The sequence below is a fragment of the Homo sapiens genome, chromosome 3, assembly GCF_000001405.40.
Source record: "Homo sapiens chromosome 3, GRCh38.p14 Primary Assembly".
Lineage (NCBI taxonomy): Eukaryota > Metazoa > Chordata > Mammalia > Primates > Hominidae > Homo > Homo sapiens.
In genome coordinates, this window is record NC_000003.12 from 120,684,558 (window position 1) to 120,705,693 (window position 21,136).

General features: G+C 36.7%; 1 protein-coding gene across 4 annotated transcripts in view; it reads right to left on the reverse strand.

Moving 5' to 3' along the window:
* The window catches only part of RABL3 (RAB, member of RAS oncogene family like 3), a 57,743-nt gene continuing 36,987 nt past the window's right edge, over window positions 381–21,136 (reverse strand). The window contains exons 5-9 of one of the 4 annotated variants that reach the window (NM_001363965.1): window positions 13,866–14,016; window positions 9,596–9,667; window positions 5,892–5,930; window positions 5,505–5,546; window positions 2,124–5,331 (exon numbers count right to left, since the gene is read on the reverse strand). In NM_001363965.1, coding sequence (NP_001350894.1) covers window positions 5,266–5,331; window positions 5,505–5,546; window positions 5,892–5,930; window positions 9,596–9,667; window positions 13,866–14,016 — 370 coding nt within the window. In that variant the 3' untranslated portion in view covers window positions 2,124–5,265. Of the gene's footprint in view, window positions 5,332–5,504; window positions 5,547–5,891; window positions 5,931–9,595; window positions 9,668–13,865; window positions 14,017–21,136 lie in introns of all 4 variants that reach the window. The other 3 variants (NM_173825.5, NR_157022.1, NM_001363964.1) reach the window with 3 other exon arrangements.

Sequence of the window (21,136 nt, forward strand, 5' to 3'; positions counted from 1 at the left end):
CCTGAGTAGCTGGGACTACAGGCACACACCACCACACCCGGCTACTTTAAAAATTTTTTAGTAGAGATGAGGTCTCGTCATGTTGCCCAGGCTGAACTTGAACTCCTAGGCTCAAGCAATCCTCCCACTTCAGCCTCCCAAAGTGCTGGGATTACAGACGTGAACTCCTGCACCTGACTTAATGTTTTTTTTTAGAGACAGAGTCTTGCTGTGTCATCCAAGCTGGAGTGCAGTGGCATCATCACAGCTCACTGCAGCCTTTAACTCCCAGGCATAAGCCATCCTCTGGCCTCAGCCTCCCAAAGTATTGGAATTACAGGCATAAGCCATCATGTCCTGCTGGGATTGGAGAATAAATAACTTACACAGCTACAGATAAGTTCTGATTCTATGTCTAATGGCTTTCCATTTTAATTAATGTAATTATACATTCATTTATTTAACAATTTTTGAAAACCATCACAACATAGTGTAAGTGCTCTGACAGGAAAGAGCCCAGGGATCTAGGGGAAGCACTAGTGGGCACGTAGCCCAGACGAGCAGAGCCAGGGAGGGCTTCCCAGAGAAGACTATGTCTGAGCCAAGTCCCATAGAGTAAGAGTTGGATAGAAAGTGGAAAACATTACATCCAGGAATTGCTACAAGGTAATGTGAAGCAGGGTGTGACAGGTCTACAGAGTAATCACTCCAAAACGGAGTTAGGCATCAGAGGACTCCAGGACAGATGTCTCCGAGAAAAAGATGGAACGGAGAGATTACCTGATATACTTGATGGTACTGAGCGAGGTTTTACACCTTGGTTGGAGTTTAGGGGTTCCATTCTTTGTCATTAGTTATTGATGACCTCGGTAAAGCTTAGTGATTAGCCAGCTGAGAAAACACAGTACTAGAGAGGGGGCTGTGTGTAAGATGGCAAGGCACTGGTTAGAAATAAATATATTTGGATTAAAAACAGAACCCAGGGGAAAAACAGTGGCAGTAATAAAAATGATAGCAATACATGAAAGACAAATACTTGTTTTGCCAACAGAAGACATGACAATCATCTCATGTTTAATTTGGCATATGTAGCTTTGAGTGGGGAGGAGTGGATCAGTTCATTAAGGTGAGATCAGGTTGAGGCAGTCAAAGATGCGCTTTGATGAATTCTGCTATAATGGCACTCATAAAGTACAGAGTTCACAATCTATATTCCCTACTTTTTGATGAGTTTATTTGTCTTTCTTAAAGGCTAGATCCTGACTTATCTGCATGAGAAAAATCTGGCTTGTCTGTTAAAAATACAAAATCCTGGCCTTATCCTATACATATAGAAAGGGGAGAGTAAGGGAAGAGAGAGGAAATCGTGGAATCTGCATTTTCAGCAAGCACTTCAGGGGATTCTTACACACTTCAGAGTTTGAAAGCCCTCCATGTGAGTCCTTAATGGAGGTGCAGATTAATTGTAACTGGATGTCCAATTCCTTTACTATGCTATGGAGCAGCCCCAGCTGACCCTAACATCAGATATTTTGTGTAGGCAAACATGTTGTGAAATATTTGAGACACAGGGTTAGACTTCCTGCGACCCTTCCTCTCCCACCACAGTGATTTAGCTCAGTCTTGGGACTGCGGAGAAATGAATTTCTAATTTCCTTCTCCTCCTTTCCCCAAAACAGACTCCTCCTTTGAATTTTAACATATATTAAACCAATGCAGACACCCTGTTAGACCTTTAAACTTCTTAAAATATGATGTCACCTGTGCTTTAAAAAATTCAATTAAGCCACCATCTAGTAACCCATACAAGGTCCTACCTATGGTGGGTGCTACTGCAAACTATTGAAATGAGGACTCAGAAACTCTGATTACAAGGAGCAATTAGGAGCTCTTCACCTCAGTCTGATGTCCCTGCACATCATTTCCATGAAGTCCATGTCAGAATGAACAGAAAAACAAGTGTCAGGGCACCTGGATTATATCATGAATGCCTCAAGTTTGAGGAATTCTAAGAACCCGAGCTAAAGCTAATATGGATCAACTCTTTTGGGAATAGCTTTTCTTAGAGCACTGTAGCGGAGAAGAGCTTTCTTTCTTCACCCATCACTAGGTTCACAAATGAGGCACCTATAACGAAAGACAGATTATTGAGAAAAGCACACACATTTATTTACTGTAAGTTTTACATGACAGGAATCTTCAGAAATGAAGACAAAAAAGAAATAGGAAAACTTGTGTATTTTTATGTACAGTCTTATGCAGAAGTATAATCAGAGGACAAAAGGACATAATCTAATGGTAATAAACTGTGGAGAACTTAGCAAGTCCTATTTGTCCAGATTCTTCTTGGTGTCTCTGTATCTGTGAGGATAAAGGGTACCTATGGAATGAAGGTTTTATGATCTACTTCAGGGAACAGTCACTTAGGGTTTATGGCCTGCTTCAGGGGAGAAGGGGTAAGGGGAAGGTATGAGAAACCTTGCTTCTGCAGTTTTCTCAAATAACAGGGTGCAATATTTTGGGGTTATGTGTCCTGAATCCCATCAACGTTAAGATGGAGAGACCAGCCCAAATCTTTAGTTGGATTCCAGCTAAGTCTTATACACCTAAGGGACAGAGGAGTAGTCATATATATGCCTTCATATCTGGTCACCTTCACAATGAGTCAGAAAATTGGTCAGACACCGAAATCACAACAGAAAAAAAAAATCTTTATTTCTACCAACTTGTCCCATCAAGAGAGTAAGATATACATATGTAAAGAGATGGAGTCCCACTCTGTCATCAGGCTGCTGGAAGGCAGTGGTGCAATCATGAATCACTGCAGCCTCAAACTCCCGAGCTCAAGTGATCCTCCTGCCTCAGTCTCCTAGAGTGCTGGGATTATAGGCGTGAGCCAGCACCTGGCCAATTATACTTTTAAAAAAATATTTTGACATTTATACTTGTTTATTATCTAAAAGCATTTTTATGAATAGTTCTCAAGAAGTCCTAGCAAAAATTGTGCTTCATTCTTTTTTGAATAACTCTAGCTAATAACATTCATTTGCGCAAAAAGCCTTATTATGCTGCTGCTAATAATTGCAACAAATTTACCTTAGATTATTAAAAACTATTTTTTCTTAGAAAACTATAATTCAAGGAATCAAGCTTGGCTGCAGAAAGTAATGGAGTTGAGGAATACTGTTAATTTTTCCAGATTGACCCTGGAGTCATCAGCAATAGTTTACTTTTATTATTTATTTATATATTTATATATTTATTTATTTATTTTCTTTTAGTTGGAGTCTCACTCTGTCACCTAGGCTGGAGTGCAGTGACACGATCTTGACTCACTGCAACCTCCACCTCCCAGGTTCAAGTGATTCTCCTGCCTCAGCCTCCCAAGTAGCTGGGATTACAGGCGCGTGCCACCAGGCCTGGCTAATTTTTGTATTTTTAGTAGAGACAGGGTTTCCCTATGTTGGCCAGGCTGGTCTCAAACTCCTGATATCAAGTGATCGACCCGCCTCCCAAAGTGTTGGGATTAAAGGTGTGAGCCACCGCGCCTGGCCTATTTTTATTTTTTAAATAAGATAGAAAATAAAAAAATCAGGATGAATTTTTTTAAAATTAAAAGAAAGAGGAAGAAAGAAGGAAGGAAGATTTATTTCTTGAAGGAGAAATACAAAGAGCTTAATTGGGTTAGGTCTCTGGGTAGCATTTGGTTTCTACTTCCCAACTGTACAGCCTATGCAACAACATACTTGTGACCAATTCTACATACAGATCATGATTTGCATAGCTTTCCTTTGTGTCAAAAAGAAACCAGGGCTATGTCCTTTCAAAGAGGAAGTAAAGAAAGGCTGGAGAACAGTCTAGCTGATGAAAGCTGCTTTAAAAATCCTTTTCCAAATTCCCAAGACTGCCTTTCTAAAAGGACTCTCTAACATTCTTATTTTAATATCCTCTTGCAGCATACCTTGATTTCCAAGATACTTCTGAAACCTAATTAAAATGGAACAGAAAGTGAATTTGGTGTTTTCCACCTATTTTTTAAATGAGAAATGAAAACTGTATATTTATTATTGTTATTTAAAAGTATGGAGCAAAATCAGGAGTGCAGAGACCTGCAGCAGAGCCAGAGAGAGAATACGGGTGATAGAGTGTTGAATAAATTGTTTTTAGAAATCAAATTCATATACTCAGGAAGAACTGGGGCAGAGAAGATTAAGCAAGCAAAAAGATAGGTTAAAAAAAGTAATGATGAACAATTACGGACACACACACACACACACACCATCCCCAAAAAGCTTTGGAGTGATTATGAAATCCAAGAATCCTAGTTCATAATTCATGTAAATGTGTTGCTGTGGAACTTATTTTTACTTCTCTCCATAAATACATTGTTGACACAGAATAATATTCTTAGTTTTCTGATTATAGCTAAGGGACATTTCAGGAGTTGACTTTTCCTTAAAAAAACAAATAGAGAGGAGGCTGTAAATGTCTCTCACTGCCCTTGTGCAGGTCTTAGATTTTACCCTACCTATTTCCAAACAGAAAACCTAGACTGTATATAGCAGCAACCTTAAGAGTGAGGGAGCTGTCAATTTTTCACATCATTTTACCAGAATTCTTTTTTTCTGGTATTGCTGTTCTCTATGTATTATTAATTTGTATTTATATTTAACTCTGGCTATTAGTCCGCCTCTTCCAGTCACTGAGCCATTTGCAAAGGAGAGAAGAGGGAGACAAGGGTTGCTATTATTAGGCATTCCTGTGTGTGACAATGGTGGAGACAATTAAATAACACCATTTTGCATCTTTGAAAATGACAGAGATTGTTTGGGGTAGACAACTCAGGGCTGGTTAACAAGACCGTTCCCCTCAAGAAGGTAAAACAATGGAGATACGTTTTTGAAGTACTTAATTAAGCTTTCAGCAATGAGTGTGGGAAAATTACAGACCCATAAAAACCCTCCAGTTCTAGGCAAGAGTAAATTTTCTCTGCAGTACACTGTCATTGCTCATTTACTGCATCATTTTGACAACATCTCATATTTACACAAGGCTTTTACATAATCTATACACAGGGACAGAAAGGTAAGGAACACAGAGAACAGGGACAAAGTTTGGACCTCCCGTATTGTCACTTCCTTTCATTTTTCCATTAAAGGGTAAGGCTGAAGGGTAGCATTTTAAGATGATTTTGTTAAAAGGCTGTGATGGTAATAATTGAACACAGCAAGATGAGCTGTGAAAAACTGCCACTGCTTGCTCACTCTTCCAAAGGATGAGTGTAATTCAGTCATAATGAAGGCTCTTTAATGTTCCTGCCCCAAATCTTTTCCGATCAGGAAAGCCTGGAATCTGTAGGCAAGAAAGATAATTGCATTAAGTCTCAAGCAATAAAAGTTCAAATACTAATAGTAATTTTTCCCTTCTTTTCCATTTCTGTATGTCAGCCTGCTGTTTCTTAAAAAAACAACTTTCTGAGGTTTTACTCAGAAAACCACAGATTAAATAATAAAAATAAATCTTACCCAAATGGAAAACATTTCCCAACAAATTGGTGATAGTGTCATCTAAATCAGAAAGAATGAAGGTAAATCTCATAATACCTACTAGACTTTTATAGAAATTATTTGTATTGTGACAGACCCTGAACGTATACTCTTGGAGTCCCAAGCAAATTATTTTCTTCTTCTATTTTATAATGTAATCTTATTCCTAGATTATATTTGTTTCCTAGATCCTTATTTTCCCTTTGTTCTGATTTTCTCCTTTTGTATTTAACAGGATAGAAGGAAATCAGTTGCTTGTGCCTATAAAGGGCTTTCCCCAACTTTTTAAAACTACTTCTGAACTTAAATTTGGAAATCACCTATCAAAATTTAAGAATCTATTTTATCAAGAAAAGAGATACCAACCTGATTACCTTCTCTTAAAAAGTATCTCTTCTCTATGACCTGTGAAAAACAAAGATTTTAAAGGCTTAGCACACATACCTGCAAAAAGTGGCTAACTGCAACGACCACTAATGGTACTAAAAGGAATATATCCAAACTAAGAATCTTTTCCATAGCAGTAGACATGTAGTACAGTCAGCTAAAAATCTGGTGTTAATGAGATCAGAATTGTGAGAGTATTTCCATAAAAGCCTGCCTCATTCCAAAACGCATTAATGATAGATCAAAAAATAAATGAATAACAAAAACTAAATAATGATAGAATGATATAAGATCCTATGCAATTCTTAGAGTATGACAGCAAATCTGACTCTAAGTTTCCTAGCAGTCAGTCCCAAAAGGTACTAAACAGCATCCATAAAATAAAAAAAGCACTTGCCTGCTACAATAGTCTTGTCTATTTCTTAAAGAGGGGACTGTTTAACATAGCAAACCACCACATCCCTATAGTAAGTGGTGACAAATTCTATATGTCCTCAATATAGACAGATGACACAACATCAAAAGCAGTCTAATGACTGTTGTAAATTGTCTACTTTTTTTTAACTAACTGCACCCTTACTTCAGTAGTTTCAGAATTACCTGCATTTGATAAGTAGAAAAAACATGTTCAAGCAGCAGATGTATCTGCACAAATCCATCACCATTATTGAAAAGAAACCCTCAAAATATATGTCCAAATGTAATAAGTTTAAGAGCACCATGTTTTCATTTTTTCCCAAAACTGCTGTAAACCCTAAAGAGCACCATGTTTCCAGATGATGAAAAACATTTTCAAGAATAATAAATTCTGTTCTGACACTTGAGAAACTGCAATGGTTACAGAGGAAGTATTATAAATGGTCTCTGATTTAGGATGGCTTGACTACGATTTTTTGACTTTATGGTGGTGTGAAAGCAACATGCATTCAGTAGAAACTGTACTTTGAGTGCCCATACAATGGGCACTTTTTTCACTTTCAGTATAGTATTCAATAAATTACATGAGCCATTCACAACTTTTTAATAAAATAGGCTTGTGTTAGATGATTCTGCCTAACTGTAGGCTAACATAAGTGTTCTGAGCATGTTTAAGGAAGGCTAGGCTAAGCTGCGATGCTTGGTAAGTTGGGTGTAATAAATGTATTTTTGACTAACAATGTTTCCAATTTACAAGGGGTTTACTGAGATATAACCCTATCGCAAGTTGAGGAATAGCTGTATTTTCTTTACATAGACCTGCTGTGATAAGAAAAGTTAATCGGATAATAATACAGATCAGCTGGAGATGAACTCTAAGACATTCAAATCTGAAATTATGCAGCTAAGAGTTCCTCTGAATGAGAACAGACCAGCTTGCTCTCTCTGGTGCCACAGCCATTCATCCAGATTCAACACCAAGACCATTCATCCAGATCCAAGACCAAGACCAGCTTGCTCTCTCTGGTGCGACAGCCATTCATCCAGATTCTTGCTGTCTTGGAGACTATAGCTGGATTATTTTTAGCCACAAGACACCAGGGCAAAGTTGCATTCACTTACCCCAGAGGTAGAAAAGTTGGTTTATCATTAGTGTACATCTTAAAACAATCCCACAAAAACCAAGAAGGAGACTGATTCCCTTTCCTCTCTATGGCAGGACAGGAAAATCTGATTATTCTGGAGCGTGAGGAATTACTACTAGTTGAAAGAGGCTGGAGAAGGAGTTAGACTTCCTTTTGGAGAAGAAATCTTTTTTTTTTGTTTGTTTCAGATGGAGTCCTGCTCTGTCACCCAGGCTGGAGTGCAGTGGTGCGATCTCGGCTCACTGCAAGCTCCACCTCCTGGGTTCACGCCATTCTCCTGCCTCAGCCTCCTGAGTAGCTGGGACTACAGGCGCCCGCCACCACACTCAGCTAATTTTTTGTATTTTTACTAGAGATGGGGTTTCACCATGCTAGCCATGATGGTCTTGATCTCCTGACCTCGTCATCTGCCCGCCTCGGCCTCCCAAAGTATTGGGATTACAGGCGTGAGGCACCGTGCCCGGCTGGAGAATAAATCTTTATGCTAAATTCTGGAAGAACTGATGTATAGAAAACTGGGTGAAATCTGGTTGTCAGCTCCTTTGGTTTCAGGCAACCACCTCAGTCTGGAGGTCTGGCCAACCTCCTAACCCACATACATTTTGTTGTGATTCAGGCAATAAAAGAGAAGTTACCTTTTTGGTTTTGGTCATAATTCTTTACCCCTGACTTGCAATGTGTACTCCTGATTTTTTAAAAAATAAAGCCTTGCCTGACAACTCGGATTATACCAATCAATAACCCAGTTTCTCTAGGATGTAATTTAGTATATCTTATTTTTTAATTTTAGAACTAATAAAATTTTAAATTTAAACAACATACTGTGGGATCTTTCCAGGTCAGGGCAGATCTATAAGATGTTGCTCATAAGGGACAGAATTTTGTATTGATGGGGCCATAGATCTAAACCAAATGGAAATTCTTATATTTTAAGTTTGAAAACAATGTGGGCAAAAAATCTGGCTCCTTGCAGTGCTGCACAACATTTTTCATGTCATGGCACACGTAGAAAATGCTAATATTTGTATAGCACACTGGAGAAAATGGAAGCGGTTGCCAATCACCCAACCCCCCCACCCTGAGGACCCTGGCTGCTCTGAGAACTGAGGGAAATCAGCATCTAGGCACATCTGTACCCTATTTCCCACATATCAGTTAAGAAGTTTTGCAGTGAAGCAAAATTTTCCTAGTGGCCTAATATTAATCGAGGAGGGTGCTGGAGCTTATCTAGTGCTGATAAAAAGGCCAAATATTAAATCCCAAATTATCTAAAGGTGGGGCTTATCCAATGCTGAACAAAAGGGCCAATTATTAAATCCCTAAATAGTTAAAAGAAAAAAATGATTGATAAAGAAGAGCTATGGGGAAGATGATTTTCTTAGGAGATGTCACTTAAAAAGAAATATAACACAGGAATTAACCTTTTTCAATAATACATGCAGAAAGACATCCTGTTTTACCTTACTATGCAATGTGAGCATTGGACAAACAACTTAAACTTGGTCAATACTATGTGCAATAAAGTTGTATGGCTTTGTGAAGGAAAGACAAAGAGTGCTCTAATTTACCAGTATGCTGAGTCATTCTACATTTTCCTTCCAGCTGAGGACAATAAAACAATGTTAGCAGAGAGTCAATAATTGGAATGCAAATATTTCTGAGAGGGAAACACTAGGAAATCAAGAAGACATTACCTTAAAAGGTAACAGTAACATTTATGTAGAGAATATTAACAGCTAGGAGAGCAAAAAGAACTCAGGGCTTTAAGCAGAATCTCCTCAGTTCAGTGCCTTTATGGGGGTGGGAGGGTGAATAAGTGAAAAAAAGAGCTAGAAAATGGGTAAGTAGAAATTCTTTTAAAGAGAGGAATTAGATATCTTTTTAAAACCCCCATTTAAATCCAGTAGCTTTTGCCCTTTACTTAGAGAACACTGGTGATGGAATAAATACGTCAGCAGGCCTTGGGCAATTATACCAACAGATAAGAGAGATCAAAACAAGGATTATTCCAGGCTGTGAAGTTTTGGACAAAAAAATAAAGGTCATAGGATTCTACAAAAAAATTTTAAACTCTCATAATATATAAATTAAGTTTAAAAATAACTTAATTGAAACCATTACCTTATCAAAAAACCTACTGAGCTTGACAGCATTGGAAGAACCTGCAGCTAAGTACCGTGGATTTGTGCAGTCCTAGAAGATAAAACATAAGATCCACAATTGAAAGTTAGGAAACCCAAGCTCGTTGCTATTCATAACTTATCCTGTTGCATATTTCTGTAGGCATAATACTATTAGGCACAATACTCTCACAAAATATTCAAATAATTTTCAAATTATGGTGCACAAAGGAGGAAAGTATTAAAGGAAAATAAGGTCACTTAATCTTTGTAATTTAAACAATTTTAGAGTATACCAAATCAGTGTATTCATCATCAAATAATTCATAGAGGAAGACAAGATTACTAATATTTTACTAATATCAAAACCAAGGTACTACTGGAGTGACCTACCTACATTTACCCCGAAAACCAGAGAGAGAGAGCCATGAAAAACAGTAAGCATTTCACTTTTAGTACTAGTTAATCACCAGTGCTCAACTAATTTAGTACTATGCAGTTCATATGAATCGGAGAAAGCAAGAAAATAAGGATTTAGAGGTGCAAAGAACAAACAGAACAATTGCCAAGGATTTCTCTTTAGATGCAAGGTACTACATCTTTTGGTAGGCCACAAAGATATATTATTTTTGGTAATAAACATCTACTACTATTGTTTGATAATAAAGATATATTACTACTCTTTGATGGAATTTTATTATAGGGAAAAAAAATGGGCCCAGAAGGGACAAAACGATCTGGAACATTAATCATTACAATAACTTTAAAACCTTAAAAGGCCTACTATCCGCTGGAATTCCAGTCTAGCTGTTTTTTTTTTTTTTTGCTTGTCACCATTGACTTGTGACCTTGAGAGATAGAGTACTTTGATTTTTACCTGAAATGTACCTAAGACCAAACTATAAGGGCTATCATGTAAGCTCCTTTGCAAGTATGAAATTTTGTCTTTTAGCTATAGACCCTCTGTGCCCCTAGAAATTACTGAAATTACTATTATTACATTTATTCTGTTTTTGCAATCTCCAGGCCCACATGATTCCTTTCTAATGAAGCCTCCTATTTTATTCATATGCAACATTTCAAGGCTCACACTTTAAATTTTAGCCAGAAATGATAATACATTCTCTAAAACCACAAAAAAGAGAGGCTACAACAAAGTTGTCAAAGATCACAGAGTACTAGAAATTAGGGGTCTTCAAAGCCAGCAAGCAATAAATCAGAATATCCATCCCAACATTTCTACTCTGTGTAACACTGGTTAGGGTACTAAACCTTTAAATTTGGGCTTACTGATTTGTGGAATGGGGATAACAATATTTTATTTCACGGGATTTTTGTGAAAAATTAAATAATCCATACCTGGACATACTGGGTAGTAAAATATTAGTCCTCCTCTCTTCAATCTAAGAAAATGCTAGCAGATTGAATTTTCAGGCACAACAAGCACTTACCACAATAAAGATAATTCCATATATGGATTATGTAGACTGAAACATCATTGCACTAACTATGGTATTTGAAATAGTGTTTGAACACATTTCTACAGCAATTGGGGCATATAAGAGACAAACCTTAGATCTGTGGTAGAAATGTTTTATAAAATAGATATTGATTAGCTAGTCATCAGAATGTCAAAAGTTTGAGACAATTCTAAATAGAGCTGAAGTACTAAATACAAAAACTAAAGCAAACAACAAGCAAACAAAAAAACACCCCCAAAACCTTAATTCTATGGTTCCATAATTTCAGGTCGACCAGCCTAGAGAAACACTATGATTTTTGGGATAAGAAATTTAGAGCTGAAAGAGCCATCTGCCATTTATCATGGCTGAGGGAAAAGCCTGAAAATTAATAGCTCCAAATAGCTTGACTGAGCTTGAGAAAGGACTATTAACTAGGGAAGATACTTCAATATGATCGCTTCAAAGTAAATACGTAACAGAGAAAAGTTTTTACAGGGTACAATAAGCCTAACAGGATTTTAGAAAATAAGTAATGGTTCACCTATTTATAATTTAAACAATTTGCATGTATTCAGGCAGTTATTTATTAACTCTGATTCCACCTTTGATGTATACATTTGTTAATTCTTACTTTTCTACAGTTTTAAGGAAATTTATACAGTAACTGATGTTAGCACTAATAATGTTACATTAGTTTTTATTTGAGGCTTTATATTTAATTGCTGAATTTCTGATTGCTATTTCTTTTTGAAACTCTTGTATTCAATTTTCCTCCTCATTTTTTCTTCCCTGCATTCTCTGACCCTCTCCTATTGTTATGTGTGCTGTGTTCTTGAAGCTGTACACTGATAAAGGCCAAAAACATGTTATATTTGAACTCTTTGGAGACTGTATGTGCTAAAGTCTCACTACCTGAGTACCTTTACATCTGACTCACAGTTAAAAGATGGCCTTGGCTTTGTAAGGCAAGTAGGAATAACACACACACACACACACACACACACACACACACACATGCACGCGATTATCAGAGAAACCCACAGGCACTAGAAACAGATACATTCTAAAATATATTAAAGTAAGCGCTGAAACAAATTAAGTGTTTTCAATGGTAAATTTCTCTTTGGAAATAATGTTCAAAGTAATCTCAGCACTTCTTCAACAAGAATATTATATATCTATATAGCAAGAATCCTTTGGAATATCATGGTTCAGTGCTGACTACCTGGGGTATGCACATCAAATATTCCATTGTGGCAGCTGAGAAAAATGAGGGGCTCTCCGCTGCAAAGCAGAATGTAAAAAACAATGGAATGGCAGGCAGAAGCTGGGGGTAGAGGTGGGGCTGAACCAAGCAGTGTTCATAAACATTGATTCATAGAATAAAGGCATCAGAAGCACCTGAGTTATTTGTTAAAACTGCAGATTCCTGGTCCTCCTGCCAGGCTTGATGAATAAAAAGCTCCAGCTGTGGGACGGTTATTCAAAATTTTCCATAGGTACTATTGGTAATATAAATACACAATCAGATTTGGGTAACTGTTGGTCTAGATGATTTCTAAGAGTTTTTTCAGCTGCCAAATTCTCAAGGTGAGTTGAAGGATTAATTAAGTGCAAAAGAGGCTTAACTGTAGAGCACAGGCTCTGAATCTGAATACCCTAATTGACCTGGGTAAACTTCCTTGGTCTTGTTACGTCTCTCCTTCTTATCTTTAAAAAGAGGATAGTAATAGTACCTGTCTTATAGAGTTGATTGTGAAGATGATGCATGTGAGATAATGTATGTAAATAACTAAAACAGTTTTCAACCCGTAAGTGCTCAATAAATGTTGCTCACTAGTACTATTACACCACCACCACTGCATTTCTGGAATGCCAGTGCACAGTTGCAGAAATCCTATTTGTGAACAACATGACCATGACTGAAATTGCTGGCCAGGATCTTTTTCTGGGATCCTAACAGGCTTACATGACAACCATTTCTTAGCTTTTTTACGCGCTCAGTTCTCATTGAGCTAGTTATCTCATCAAGGGACTCAATCCTCTATATATGCATAAGTGTACATAAATTAGTCCTTATGAAGCACTCCTAGTTTAAGGTTTGCAATTTTTTCATGTATTTGTTACGTTGCCCTTTAAGGTAAAATTTGTAGTTTAAGAAGCTAAGAGGCTTTTTAAAAGCAAGAATAATATGCTTATAGTGCCACTTTAATCAATTTATTTTAATTTTGGTGTGATTTTAAAAACCTTTCTCAAGAAAAAGCCCATGGGCCAGGTGCAGTGGCTCGCGCCTGTAATCCCAGCACTTTGGGAGGCCAAGGAGGGCAAATCCAGTCAAGAGTTCAAGACTAGCCTGGGCAACATGGCAAAACCCCATCTCTACTAAAAATATTTAAAAAATTAGCTGGACATGGTGGTACATGCCTGTAATCCCAGCTACTCAGGTGGCCTAAGCATGAGAATCGCTTGAACCCAGGAGGTAGAGGCTGCAGTGAGCTGAGAACGCGCCACTGCACTCCAGTCTGGGCGACAGAGCGAGACTCTGTTTCAAAAAAAGAAGCCTATGATTTAAATTATTCATAGAATAAAGTTGGAACATTCCAACAGACCAACATAAAAGGCTGAAGTGACTGTGCACATCTCTCAGTCTAGATATGTTGATTCCAATCTTGACTACGTTTAGACTAGAATCCAAATAGCCTGATTTCAAGTATAAAGCTTCTTTCACTAGAATATATTATTTGAATATGTCTTCAGTTTTGTCTTTACCCGATAATAATACAAGCATGCATTAGTGAAAATACATACCAAATTAATTTCTTCTGGATTGAAATCCTCAGCCAGGAAAGCAGTCCTAGTTAAAACTTCATGGCGCTTTGTTTCATGAATCTGGTCCAGTTTAGTCCCTATTACCAACAGTGGTATTTGGTTATCAGCAAACTGTTCTTGATCATAATCCCTGTGATAAATAATAATGAAGAGGTGAATAGAATGTATCTTTCTGGTGTAGATGTGTAATATTTAAGTGCAACTAAGTTACACTATTTTACTGAAAATTAACTGATTTTTGCTGCCTTCACCTACAAACCTACTTTCCTTCCAACTTCTTCCATCTACTTGTTCTTTTATCAATCCATCCTCATCATCAGATTCCAGCTATTCATCTAACTTCTCAAAATTTGGTCCCATGTTTTTATTGAATATTGAACAATACTGAATAATTGAACAACTAAGTGCCCATCAAGTATATTACAGTCAGTGGACTTAACTTCCAATGTAGCTGTGTCTTCTAAGGTTAACATAACAGCTCAGGAATATTTCAGAGTAGAAGCAGAGAGTGGATTTAAGCCTCATCGTAGCAAAAACCCAAAAGCCTAGCATGGCACTCAAGCCTTGTGCTAGAAGAGAAAATGGCAAGCTTCTTGGGTACCTTTTGGGGTATGCATTAATTCTATATCTACAATACACATTTCTGTCTGAATAGTAAAGAAATAAGAAGAATAAGAAAATAGAAATAGGGAAGCTGAAGCCTAGAATAAATCAAATATAGGTGATACTATAGCCTGGGAAAGGTGGATTAAACACATGGAAATGGAAGGAAACAGCTGAAATGCAAAATGAATAGTAAAAGGAAAGAACTTAGTACCAAGTAGTTGTTTCCTGAAATGAGAGCCATGGGAGATAGAGGACGGGCAATAAGAACCACTTAGGGTTAGTGGCCTTGGATCACTGGCTATTACAATCCTTATTTTTTAAAAAATTTATTTATCCAAAGAACAGAGTGGTGATGTAAATGATACTTCTCATTACTGAAAAGAACACAGAGGCCATTGCTGTTGAATTAATTTAAATTCTACTCACATATTAGAAATAAAACAGATTTGGATTTCTGACACGTTATAAGCTCAACTTACAACAGTCAGCAAAATCTGGTTGTGCACAATTTATGACAGTAAATCAATATTGCATAATCCAATCACTACAACCCAGTCGAGCATAGCTTTTTTTCTTCCTTTAACACTACTTTTCTTTCTCTTACAGAAATTCTAAATTGGGGTAGGGGGCAAAGTTACTAAGTATTTATGCCCTTCACAATAATCTTACAGCGCCTCAGCAAACTGTTCAGCCTCGGAACACAAGTGTTTTACTATACAACCTCCCATCTCACAAAAATATTACCATTCTATTTATTGCATCAAAGCCAATAATAGCATGATCAAGACCTTTGATTATTCATATCAACAGCAACTCTAATTAAAGAGACATGGTTCAAAGCTACAATTCGCTTTGTTAGGGAATGAAGTTTTGAGAGTGTCTTTCCTTTAGGACTGTTTCCTTCTGTCTCACATACAAAGTTTTGCATATCTTCTATCAAATATCATCTTTGATGTACATACATCTCTCATATAGTCTTGCACAATTCCTTGCACACTGACACATATAAAGCATACATATATAGTTTGCTCTCTTATTTCTCTTTTTAGCTTTCCTTTTAACTTTTTCATAAAATCTTGCAGCATCCAATTTAAAATTTAATCTTGAAATCTTCTTTGGTAAACTTCTGAAGAACTTTATCATGGATGGATAAGGCTGATAGCTCCTTAACATCACAAAGAGACACACAGCCAGGTATCATATTATATGCATAATACTGGGTGGAAAAATAAAGACAAAAAAACTTGCATCTTTCAGACCACTATATTTAATTATCACTTCAGAGAAGATTTAGAATTCAGAGAAACAAGTTTAAAAGACAATACAGGGAGACAATCAGCAAATCCAGAATATAGGAAACTGTACAAGACAAACAGCCATCTTCTTCTACAAATAAAGTGCTAGGAGGTTGGAAAAAAAACAACCAAAAAGGGAGAACCTAAGATTAAAAGATACTTAAGAAACCAAATACAACCAGTGGACCTTATTTAGATACTATTTCGAAAAAATCAATTATAACATTTATGAGACAATTGGGGAAATTAAAATAATATTTGGTTATTAAAGAATTATTATTAAAGTTTTAGCTGTGATAATTATATGGTGTCATGTTAAAAAAAAGCCCTTATGTTTTAAAGTATATATGGATGAAATGATATGATGTTTTAACATTTGGTTCAAAATAATCCAGTTGAGAGTGGGAGAAGATAGAAAGTGGGTAGAGATATGGATGAAACAAGACTAGCTATATGTTGATAATTGTTGAAACTAGGCAACGGGTATATGGGAGTTCATTTTCCATTCTTTGTATTTACATATGTTTAAAATTTTCTATAATAAAAAGTTAAAAAAAGTTATTGTGGTAAAAACTACATAATATAAAATTTACCTAAATTGTTTAAATATGGCTAAAAACTCAAACTGATATAAAAGATATATGCTAAGCAGTCTTGCTCCTACCACTGTACCCATCCACCCATCTCCCCTGGCCCCCTATAGGTTACCATTTTTATTAGTTTCTTATTTTTCACTGATTCTTTATCCAAATATAAATACATATTATTTCTTTTCTTTCTTATACAATAGGAGGTATACGATATATATTCTCTGCATTTTGATTTGTTAAACCTAATAATGTACCCTCTGTAGATCTTTCTATTTTAGTTCATAGAGATCTTCCTGATTCTTTTTTAAACATTGAATACTACTCCAGTATGTGGATATGCCATTATTTATTCAATGAATCTTTCGTTGCTCGGACACTAGGGTTGTTTCCAAATTTTTTGATGCTATACAATAATGCACCAACAAAGCACACCAATGTATTAAGGTTGTTTTATACATTTGCAGGTTTATCTATAGAATCAAAATGAAACTGTAGTGTCAAAATGCAAATGGGTATAGAACTTTTACTGAATTCCCTGACAAAAATGCAGATTTCTTTCTGATATGAATATGCTGTCTCCTAACCCTAAATTTAAGGATAAGTTTCTTAAGTAGAAATTTTAGTAGAAAATAGAGAACAAGCTAGGTTAATGAAGACATCAGTGATGAAAGGAATTGAGATAGGAAATAAATATCAATGAGGCTTTGAAATATAGGTTTTAAATTAGTTGTGCTTATTCTTTATTAGGTCTTGCTGGAATCTACATATATATACTCAAACTTATACTATATTTAGGTTTCACATAACAATTAGACTTCCACACAGAAAACAAAGCCTTTGAAAGACTTGCTTCAATCAAAAGATAGAAAATGGGGTTCTGTTCTAGGTAAGACAGAATAAGCAAACTCTATCCTGTCTTTCCCAGTGAATGCAACTATAAAACCTGGACAGGATACATGAAGTGGCTATTTGAGGACTCTGAAAAATTAATAGTGAGCATATTAAGGAAGACTGCAATGTGAAGAACCATTGAATTAGCAGTTTCCTTCCATATCCCCTTGTCTGAATGCAACTCAGCTTAAAACCCAAAAGTGTGAACAGAATACTCCAGAAGAAGGCCTATAGTTCTGGCTCATGAAACAAGAAAGGGGACACACGAATACTTGGAGATAGTGTAGAAATACAATATTTTTCCTTCTGTTGTAAGCCAGCTTCTGAGCAATTTCATGACAGTTGTGGCAAAGGCTATAACACAAGCAGAATGCTCAAAAACAACAGTCCCCAACCTTTTTGGTACCAGAGACTAGTTTCATGGCAGACAATTTTTCCATGGACAGGTGTTTGGGGGATGGTTTCAGGATGAAGCTGTTCCACCTCAGATCATCAGGCATTAGTTAGATTATCATAAGAAGCCTGCAACCTAGATCCCTCACATGCACAGTTCACAATAGGATTCACGCTCCTATGAGAATCTAATGCCTCTGCTAATCTGACAGGAGGTGGAGCTCAGATGGTAATGCTCACTCACCTGCCACTCACCTCCCACTGTGTGGCCTGGTTCCTAACAGGCCATGGACCAGGGGTTGGGAACGCCTGCTTACAAATACAGAGGAAGGGAAATTTTTCTTTTTTTTTTTTTTTGAGACGGAGTCTCACTCTGTTGCCCAAGCTGGGGTGCAGTGGCGTGATCTCGGCTCACTGCAAGCTCCGTCTCCCAGGTTCATGCCATTCTCCTGCCTCAGCCTCCCAAGTAGCTGGGACTACAGGCGCCCGCCACAACGCCTGGCTAATCTTTTGTATTTTTAGTAGAGACAGGGTTTCACCATGTTAGCCAGGATGGTCTCGATCTCCTGACCTCATGATCCGCCCGCCTTGGCCTCCCAAAGTGCTGAGATTACAGGCGTGAGCCACCGCGCCGGGCCCAGAAGGGAAATTTTTCTGACTGATGGAACTGTATCTCAAGACAGTGGGGCAAACTCCCATTGCTTTTATTCTTTGTCCTTCTACCACTTGGCCCTGGACATAGGTGCAGTTGTGCAAGTGCATGAGAAAATTTGGCCTGGGGACCGAAAAAGGGAGCCCCAGCAAATCACAAAGTATGGCAGAGACTGTAGACAGGGTGAAGTGTGAGAAAGCAACCCCATGAAGTAGTTCGTGAATGCTTGAGCTCATTGCCAAAGCTGTGCATGCATGGATTTGATCCTACTTAGTGTACCAAAGACACTGAAAACTGAAACAACAGAGACAACAACACCCAGGTCACATACCGGGTGTTGCACAAATATAAAATAAGTGAAATCATATAAAGTATGTTCTTGGATCATAATAAAATTAAGCTAGAAGTCAATAGCAAAAAATAACTGGAAAGCCTCTAAATACATGGAAACTAAACAACACATTTCTAAACAGCCTATGGGAAAATCTCAAGGAGTATTAGAAAATATTTTGAACTAAATGAAAATAAAAGTAATACATTTAAACATTTGCAGGATGCAGCTAAAGCAGTGTTTAGAGGGAAATTTATAGCATTAAAATACTTGTATTGGCAAAAATGCAAGGTATCCAGTAAGTAATCTAAGAAGCTATAGAGAACAAAATAAACCAAAAGCAAGCAGAAGGAAAGAAATAAGAGTAGAAATCAATTAAACTGTATATGGAAAAACAATAGAGAAAAATCAATGAAACCAAAAGTTGCTTCTTTGGAAAAAAATCAATACAATTGATAAACCTCTACAAGTCTGACAAGAAAAAGAGAAGACATAAAATACCAAAATCAGAATGAAAAAGGTCATATCACTACAAACTGTGCAACTATCAAAAGGACAATAAACAAATACTATAAACAACTCTATTGATATACATTAAAAAATTTAATGAAATAGATGGAATTCCTTGAAAATCACAAATTACAAAAACTCATCCAAGATGAAATAAATAACTTGAACAATCCTAATTACTAAAGAAGTTGACTTTGTGGTTAAAAACCTTTCAAATAAGAAACCTCCAGGCCCAGATGGTCTCTTGGTAAATTCTACCAAACCTTCAAAGAAGAAATAACACCAAATATACTCAATTTCTTCCAAAAAATAGAAGAGGAAGGAATACTTCCAATTAATTCTATGAGGCCAACATTATCCTCACACCAAAACCAGTCAAAGACATTATGAGAACAGAAAACTACACACCAATGCCTGTCATGAACATGGATAAAAATCCTCAACAAAATATTAGCAAATCAAATCCAGCAACACATAAAATGAATAATACACCATGACCAAGGAATGGAAGGCTGGTTCAATATTTGAAAATCAGTGAATGTAATCCACCAGTATTGAAAATCAGTGAACGTAATCCACCATACTGACAGCCTAAAGAAGCAGCCACATGTCCATATCAATTGATGCAGAAAAGGCTTTTGACAGAATTCAGTATCTGTTCATGATATTAACAAAACTATCAGCAAATTAGGGATAGAAAGAAATGTTCTCAACCTGATAAATGATGTCAACAAAAAAAACCTAAAGCTGACATCATACTTAATAGTGAAATGAATGCTTTCCCCCTAAGATTGGAGTAAGACATAGATATTCACTCTTATCACTCCTAGTTAGTACCCTTTTGGAAGTTGCTGCCAGTGCGAAAAGGCAAGAAATAAGACAACAAGCACACAGATTGAAAAGGAAGAAATAAACCTGTCTATGTAGAGCATCCTAAGGATTGTACTAAAAAACTCTGGTCACAAGATACAGGTCAGCACTCAGAATCAATTCTATTTTTTTTTATACTAGCAATGGAAAATTTGAAACTGAAGTTTAAATATACCATTTATGGCCAGGTATGGTGGCTCATGCCTGTAACCCAGCACTTTGGGAGGCCAAGGCAGGTGGATCACCTGAGGTCAGGAATTCGAGATCAGCCTTGCCAAGATGGTGAAACCCTGTCTCTGCCAAAAATACAAAAATCAGCCAGGTATCCCAGCTACTTGGGAGGCCGAGGCACAATAATTGCTTGAACCTGGGAGACAGAGGTTGCAGTGAACTGAGATCGTGCTACTGCACTCCAGCCTGGCAACAGAGCAAGGCTCAGTCTCAAAACAAAACAAAACAAAACAAAAAAACAATTTACAATAGCTTAAAAAATATTAAATATTTTGGTATAAATCTAATAAAACATGCACAGGATTTGTATGCTGAAAACTACACAATGCTGGTAAGAGAAATAAAAGAAGATCTAAATAAATTTAGAGATATATTGTGTTCATGAACTGGAAGATGCAACAGAATAAAGATGTTAATTCTCTCCAATGTGATCAATAGGTTCAATGCAATTCTAATAAAAATCCAACCAAAATTTTTGTCAATATAGACAAGCTGATTCTAAAAATTCATGTGGAAAAACAAATAAACTATAATAGCTAAACAATTATGAAAAAGAATAAAGTAGAAGGAATCATACTGCTCAATTTTAAGACTATAATTAAGACAGCGTAGTACTGGTGAAGGGACAGACACATAGATCAATGGAACAGAACTAGAGTCCAGAAGTTGACTCATACTAATATGGTCAACTGATTTTTGGCAAAGGAGCAAAAGCAATTCAATGGAGAAAGGATATCTTTTCAATAAATGGTGCTGGAATAGTTAGACATTCATATGCAAACGTTAACCTCAACCAAAACCTCCCATCTCGTACAAAACTAACTTAGATCATAAATCTAAATGCAAACCTATAAAACTTAAAATGTTTTATATAAATGTTT